Source organism: Homo sapiens, chromosome 19, assembly GCF_000001405.40.
Source record: "Homo sapiens chromosome 19, GRCh38.p14 Primary Assembly".
In the NCBI taxonomy this organism is placed as follows: domain Eukaryota; kingdom Metazoa; phylum Chordata; class Mammalia; order Primates; family Hominidae; genus Homo; species Homo sapiens.
Genome location: NC_000019.10, coordinates 15,664,079 through 15,671,947, shown reverse-complemented (window position 1 = coordinate 15,671,947; position 7,869 = coordinate 15,664,079). Strand labels below are relative to the sequence as shown.

The following is a 7,869-nucleotide window of genomic DNA, read 5'->3' as shown; positions in this document are numbered from 1 at the left end:
TCATATAAAGCGTGCCTACTCTGTGCCATGTGCTGTATATAAAGCATACCTACTGTGTGTCAGGTGCTCCACATTGAGCATGTGTACTACGTACCTGGTGACCCACAGAAAGCGCACCTACTCTGCATCAAGTAATCTACATAAATCTTGTCTACTGTGTGCTGGCTATTCTACATATAGTGCACCTACTGTGTGCCAGGAGCTCCACATAAATACTGTCTACTGTATGCTGGGAGCCCTTCACAAATCCTGTATCTTGAGTCCCTGGCCCTTTATATAAACCATGCTTGCTGTGTGCCAGGTGCTCTAAATAAAGCACACCTACTGTGTGCCAGATGTTCCACATAAAATGCTTCTCCCGTGTGTTAGGTCCCCTACATAAAGTAAAACTACTCGGTGCAACATACTTGACATAAAGCACACATACTGTGTGCCAGGTACACTATATAAAGTGTGCCTTATTGTGTGCCAGATATGCTACATAAAGAGCACCTACTGTGTGCCAGGTATGCCGCATAAAGTGTACCTACTATGTGCTAGGTACGCCACATAAAGTACACCTACTGTGTGCCAGGTGCTCTACATAAGGTGCACCTACTATGTGCCAGGTGCTCTATATAACGTGCACCTGCTTGTATCAGATGCTCACCTGCATCACAGTGCCCAAAGCTGTCCCACCACCCTCCCAACAGCTCCCTAGGCCAGAACCCTGGGCATTGTTGAAGAGACCTGAGTGATGGCATCCAGAGGAGAGAAGGTGTCCATTTAACACAAAAGCAAACTGAGGCTCAGAGAGGGCAGGCCTCTAGTCCAAGTTGCAGAGCTCATAGGAACTCAAGACTATGAGACCCTCAAGTCCAAATCCGTTCCCTCTGCCATGCTGCTCCACCCCCATTCTTTAGTGTCAATGCCATATTAATATAGGGACATTTATAATGGAGTAATCTCAGGCAGTGTGATAGCCCCAAAGGGGAAATATCTTGAGGCCCTTGGATCAGCACCTGGCTCCTTCTCCCACATGCAGGATTCTCCTCCCAACAGATCCAGGGCTCCCCTCCTGGCCCTCCCTAGATCCTGTCCTGAATTGTCCTGTGGGGTGGACTCAGGTGAGGGGGGCGCTTGAAGGAGGGGGCTCCTAGCAGAACTGCTGAGCAGGAGGGTGGGGAAGACAGTACTCCTGACACTGGCTGGGTACTGGGGAGCCCCTAGACCACCCCCACCCCACCACCCCTGCCAGCTCAATCAGCCAGGGGATTCAGGCACCTGGTCCTACAGCTTCATTCGCGTAGGGTGCATCCCCCAAAATCCCCACTACCTCTGCAAGGACAGACCTCACCTGCTGGTGGTTCCATCCTTCTTAGGCTCAGGGAGCAAAGCCAGGGGTTGATGAACAGGCAGGGTCCTAGGGACACAGAAGAAAGTGCCCCCAGTGGCTAGAGGGGCTCAGCTCACTGCAGACCTCCTGTGTGCCTGGGATGGGCAAGCAGGTTAGAGCAGGAATGGCGGCCATCGACATTGCCAACATGAGTCATGGAGCCTGTTTTAAGTCTTTTAACTATATTAACCATTTTGTTTTTCCATTTTACAAATGAGAAATCCAGTCTGGAAAATATTTGAGTGACTACCCACAGTCATAGAGCTGGTGGATCTGGGCTGTGCACCCAGACCACCCACCCAGCCTCACATTGTGCCCCCCTCACCACCAGGCTGTGCTCCTTCACGTCCGTAAATGGGCGTTTCAGCAGCAGCACCTCACAAGGTTGTTGCAATAACGAAAACAGATTATGCATGCAAAATGACATTTCAGGGATAAAAAGAAGGGAGTAAAGGGGAAGTTCATCTACTAAACATGTGTTAAGTGGCATCATCTCCCCTCACATGTTGTCACCAATTCTCTCAGCAGAGCAGATCTTTGCTGTCCAAACAGCCTGCAACTTCTCCCCTGATAGCCAGACTGGGTATTAAGCCTTGCCTGTCATCCTCTACTCCTACTCCCACTAAGCAATAGTAGCAGAATAGACAAAAACAACTCCTCCTCCCATCCCCACCTGGGGAGCAGAGCCATCGGCATTGCCAACATGAGTCATGGAGCTCAGGAACAGCCACCAGCACCTGCACTCACCATTCAATCTCTTTAGGCTCCCAGACCTTCAGAAACTCTTGCCTTTCCTGCCCGCAGCGCTCCTGGCATTCTGGGTGCATTGCAAGGTTGTACTGGACCCAGGAGAGACCACTGGTCCTGGTGTCATAGCCTGAGGGGCAGCCAGGCAGTCTTGGGTCTCTGGGCTGCTTCAGCACAACAGGGTGGACAGCACCCATGGATTGAGGGCCTCAGAGAGGATGGGGGAAGGGGGATGGGAAGGGTGAAGCCATCCAGGGTCCACCCACCACGTCCCTGGGATGAGACATCTTGGTCCTCACTGGGATCCTCTCCCTCAAACATGAAGGTGTCAGCCTACACTCTTATGTCCTCATCAGACAACTCCTTCCCATCTTCATCCTGGAGAGAAGGAAAAACACCCTTGAAAACCACACAAGCTCTGAGGACTCCTCAGTCTAACATGAAATAAACTCTGAAGATCCATCCTCTTTCCAGAAACCCAAGCCCAGCTTGCACTCCTAGATGTCTCTTGGTCACCATCACCAGAGCCCACACCATGCAATCTTCCTCACTGGCTTCCTTCCTTCTTCTTTTGTCCCTGGTGGGAAGAATCAACGACACATGAATATTTTCATGTTTCTACATGTTGAGAACTTTCTGAGAAAAAGTTACTGGCAAATGAGCTTACAGGATAATTAAATAACAATTCGCCTTGGAAGTTAGAGATTAAGTATTGCTCCAAAGATGTATACTCACATTCCAGTGTGGTAAATGCAGACAATCTTATTTATTTCCCCTGAAGACATTTGTGTTGTAAGTCTACAGACTATTACATCTCACTGGAGAGAATTGGTTTATGCTTCAGAATAAAGCACTCTCTCTTGCTCTCGCTCTCTCTCTCTCTCTCTCTCTCTCTCTGTCGAGAAAATAAATAGAAAATGTGCCAAGACTCGTAATGTGGAGCCCCTCTCCTAGGGCGCAAACACTGTTCCACATACAGATAAAAACATTGCATTGCTCTTGGAGAAATGTGATTTGGGAATGAAAGCCAATGCTACAATCCTACTCCGGCTGCTAGTGTCACTGTGAGCAATAAATGGGCTGCTGTGATCCAGGTGTTCAATGCACTTGTTACAATAGACATCTGTCACAATAGAAAAAGTCATGGACAGAAAAAGACATAGACATAAACATAGAGAAAGACATAGATATAGACATAGACACAGACACAAATATAGACAAAGATATAGACATAGACAAAGGTATAGACATAGGCAAAGTCATAAACGTAGGGAAAGATGTAGATGTAGACATAAATAGAAACAGACAAAGACGCTGGGCACCGTGGCTCACTCCTGTAATCCCTGCACTTTGGGAGGTCAAGGCAGGCAGATCACAAGGTCAGAAGATCTAGCGCACCCTGGCCAACATGGTGAAATCCCATCTCTACTAAAAATACAAAAATTAGCTGGGCGTGGTGGCGGGCACTCGTAGTCCCAGCTACTCAGGAGGCTGAAGCAGAATCACTTGAACCCAGGAGGCAGGGGTTGCAGTGAGCCGAGATCATGCCATTGCATGCACTCCAGCCTGGCAACAGAGCAAGAATCTTTCTCAAAAAAAAAAAAAAAAGAAAGAAAGAGAAAAAGAAAAGAAACAGACAAAGACACAGACATAGACAAAGATGTAGACATTGACAAAGACCAAGAATTAGACAAAGACAGACACAGACATAGAGAAAGATATAGACATGAGCATATACAAAGGCATAAACATGACATAGACATAGGCACAGACATAGACAAAGACAGACATTGACAAAGATGTAGATAAATACATAGACAGACATCGACAAAGAGAAAGAGATAGACACAGACATAGACATACACATACACATACACATACACATAGACAAAGAGACACAGAAATATACATAGACATAGACAAAGACACAGGCACAGAAAAAGACAAAGACATAGATACACAGATATGACATGAACAAAGACACATAGATCTAGATATAGACATTGACACAGAAAAGACACTAAACATAGACATAAAGACTGAGATGAAGACATACATAAAGATATAAACAGACATACACAAAGACATAAACATAGACATTGACAAAGATATAGACAAAGAAAAGACAGACACAGACATAGAAAAGACACAAAGACATAGATATAGACACAACGAAAGAAAAAGAAGCAGATACAAAGACAGACACTCGCAATGACAAAGACAAAGACACAGACATAGTCATGGACACAGACACAAATTCAGGCATGGACAATGACCTAGACATTAGATATAGATATAGATATAGATATAGATATAGATATAGATATATTAATACTTATATAGACTAGCTTATTAATGCATAAATAGAGTAAAATCTTATACTTGTCAGTTTCACATCTAGCAGTCCCCTGCTAGGTGCATTCAGCAAAGTCATCTCTAAAACCTATCTCTGACCTGTCTCTCCCTTCCTCAAGCACCTGCCATGACTCCCCAGTGCCCTCTGGATCAAGTCTAAGTTCTTTGATCTGATATTTGACATTAAGCTCCCTTCTGCTTCTTGAATTCAAATCTCAGAGAAGCCCACTTTGCTAATCAGGAGCACATCAATGAAGTCCAAGGTCTTGGACTTGGCTTTGGCTTGGAGGAAGTCATCAACACCCTGGCTAGGGAGGGTGTGGCGTTTCTCCTGGATGGCAGCGTCTGCAAAGTCATGCCCCAGGCGGCAGGCCCTGTGGAAGTGCCGCCCATCATGGGTGAGATAATACAGGAAGTCCATGTGCAGGAGGATCTGCTGGTTTCTTTTTGCCACAAGGGAACTGAGCTCCAAGACAGAGGCAATATATTCACTGGGCTTCCTGAAGGATAAGGGCAGAAAGGGAGGCAACAACTTAACATGTCTGAAGCCCCAGAAGCACCTCCCATCAGCAGCTAGGAGCTACCTCCTATCAGGAAACAGAGTATACAGAAACAGATGACCCCACACATACAGAGAGGGGGTCAGCTATGAGATTGATTCTCCAAGCCCTTATCTCCCTGCATCCCATCTCTGTGAGATGCCTTCATGCCCCTAGGCACCCAGAGCATAACTTGAACATCATGCATTTATTCTCTCTCCCCTGCCCCCGGTATATAATCCTGCCCCTTCTCCTTCCTGAAACTGTTCACAAAGATCAGACCTCATCCTCTTCCAACTGTCTCTACCCTACCCTAGCCTCCCTGCATCCAATGTCAACTCCATTTAGTGTCCACACTACAGTCAGTCCCTCACAGAACTCAGCTCTGACCATGCCCATTAGCTCAAACCCCTTCAATATCTCCCTGGAAACCTCATGATAATGTTTATACCAGTCATTCAAAGACTGTGACACAACTCCTCCAGGTAGGCACTTCTGCTTGCCCTCATCAGTTCTCTCTCCCCCAGCCTACTCCTTTGGGTCCATGGCTCAAATTCCCAGCCACTGGGCAAAGACTCACTCCTGACATTGGCTGTCAAAGCTGAAGACACATTTCTGCAGACTATCCAAGGTCATGAGGTTCATGTGCTCAAACATGTCGAGACAGGCATTGTGCTCCAAGGTCAAGAGGTGCCACTTGGCCTAGCCAGAGATGGGGACAGAGCTGGTGCTTGTCCCTGGCTTCCTTGAGCCCCTCCCAAACCCAACCACCAAGGCACACTATTCCAGCCTCTTCATTTTCTCCCCAAGAATCCCTCCCCAGGGGTAACCAAATTGCAGTGAGAGTAAAAGTTGTTAATATTAAGAGATGGAGATGCAAGACTGGGAGTCAGGAGACCTGGGTTCAAGTTCCAGCTCTGAATGTCCTTGGTGAACGAACTCCTTATCCTTCCCTATGTTCTACCTGTCAAATCTTGAGGAACAGTTGAGATGATTGCCTTGGTGCCACATAAACAAGGTTAGAAACCCTGTTTCACTACTCCAAGCTCACTTATTAGCTGGGTGAACTTGGGCAAGCTCCCTAATCTCTCAGACCCACAGCTTCATCCTCTACAGTGAGGCAAAAATATCTCCTTCAAAGAACAGTGAACATCAAATCAGTCAATATACACTCATACCATGGGATGGGCACATGGCATTGTTTATGGCATATAGTGAGGGTTCAATAAATGTTGGCTTTCCTTATCTGCCTTGTTATAAATTGATTACAAAAATATCTCTATGTTGGGACAGGAAGTCCTCCATGAGCCCTGAGTATCCCTTTTGGGTATGCTAAAAATGCAAAACACTGAGTTCTTAACTTCAGCCATTTCTGAGAGTTGTGTGTGCAGAGAACAGTGTTCAAGAATAAGGTAATGACTCCCTTTGGACCCGTATCAGGCTTACTTTGCTTGCTATTCCCTAAGCCTAATGCTCCTTCCCTGTAATGCAACATACTACCTGAGCAGGCATTTATAAAAGCCCAACAATGTCACCCGAAGGGATTTGGGTATCCTGGAGAAACAATGCAATCTGACAGGAAACACATACTCCTTGCTGTGCCATGAGTAATAAACCACCCTTTGCCTCTGACCCAGGAGTCTCCTGTCTTCTGGCAGAATCCATGAAATAGTAACAAGCTAACTTATCAATTTGCAAGTTTAATAAAACCTGGAGACTTCACAAAACCCTCGCCCCAATTCTTCACTTACCCCCATATCCACACGCTTTGCAATGTGATTTTTTAGCGACTTTCCTTAAGAGACAGAGCCTATTTTACTCCTCCTCTCCTTTTCTGATTGTGTGCTGGGATTATGGCTTTCAATGATGAAATGCAATGTGGTGAAAATGATGAGGTAATAACTAATGAAGCTAAGCCTCGTGCCACTCCGTGGAAACCTGCCTGCCTGCATTGTGAACCACGGGGTGCCTTCTGGAAGGAGAGAATCACATGGAGGAACATCCAGGGGTCCCAGCTGAGGCCATCTGTATCAGTCTGAAGCCAGCCAAAACCCAAACATTGAGAGAACTCAGCCAACACCTGCAAGGCTGCCTACCTGACTCCAGGTTGCTCATGTACCATGACTGATCCCTTCCACATAGAGAAGGACCTGCCAACTGTCCCATAGACTTATTAACATTCATAAACCTTTATTGTTTTAAACCAATGAGTTTTCAAGTGGTTTCTTATCAGCAACAGCTACTGTGCAATTGTCGTCATGACCCTCTTGATTTTATAGGGCTTGGGTGACAGAATCATAGAAACAGACACCTTCTGGGCACCTACTATGCACCAGGGACATGACTCCATTACATCACCTTGACCACCTTTTAAGTAGGGATTATTATACCCATTTTACAGATTAAAAAAAAACAAAACAAAACTAGGGATCAGAGAGGAAGAACAATGGCCCAATGCCACCCAGCAGAGCCAAAATTCTACACCAGATCTGTCTGTGGTCCCTCCACCCCAAGTCTGCAGCTAGGACCTTAGCTTCAAATAACTCACGTGCATGATGTTCACACTCTCATCGAAAATCTTCATATAGGGCTTCAGGATGTTGAAATGGAAGGCAGGCATCAGCATCCCACGGTGGCAGCTCCACTTGTCACCAGCACTCAGCAGGAACCCATCCCTTAGCAGGGCAGCCAAGGGCCATGGGCAAGGTCATCTTCCTCCCCTGGTCCCCCAACTTATTTCCCAACCCTGTTCACCTGCAGATACTCCCCCAGCCAGGGCTTCAGGAAGCTGTAGAAGACCTTGTCCTTTGGTGCAATGGTGGCTGACATGAATGGGGACAATCAGGGGCCATG

General features: G+C 46.5%; 1 pseudogene; it reads right to left on the bottom strand.

Annotated features, from left to right (window-relative positions):
* CYP4F10P (cytochrome P450 family 4 subfamily F member 10, pseudogene) lies at nt 4,708-7,842 on the bottom strand (annotated as a pseudogene).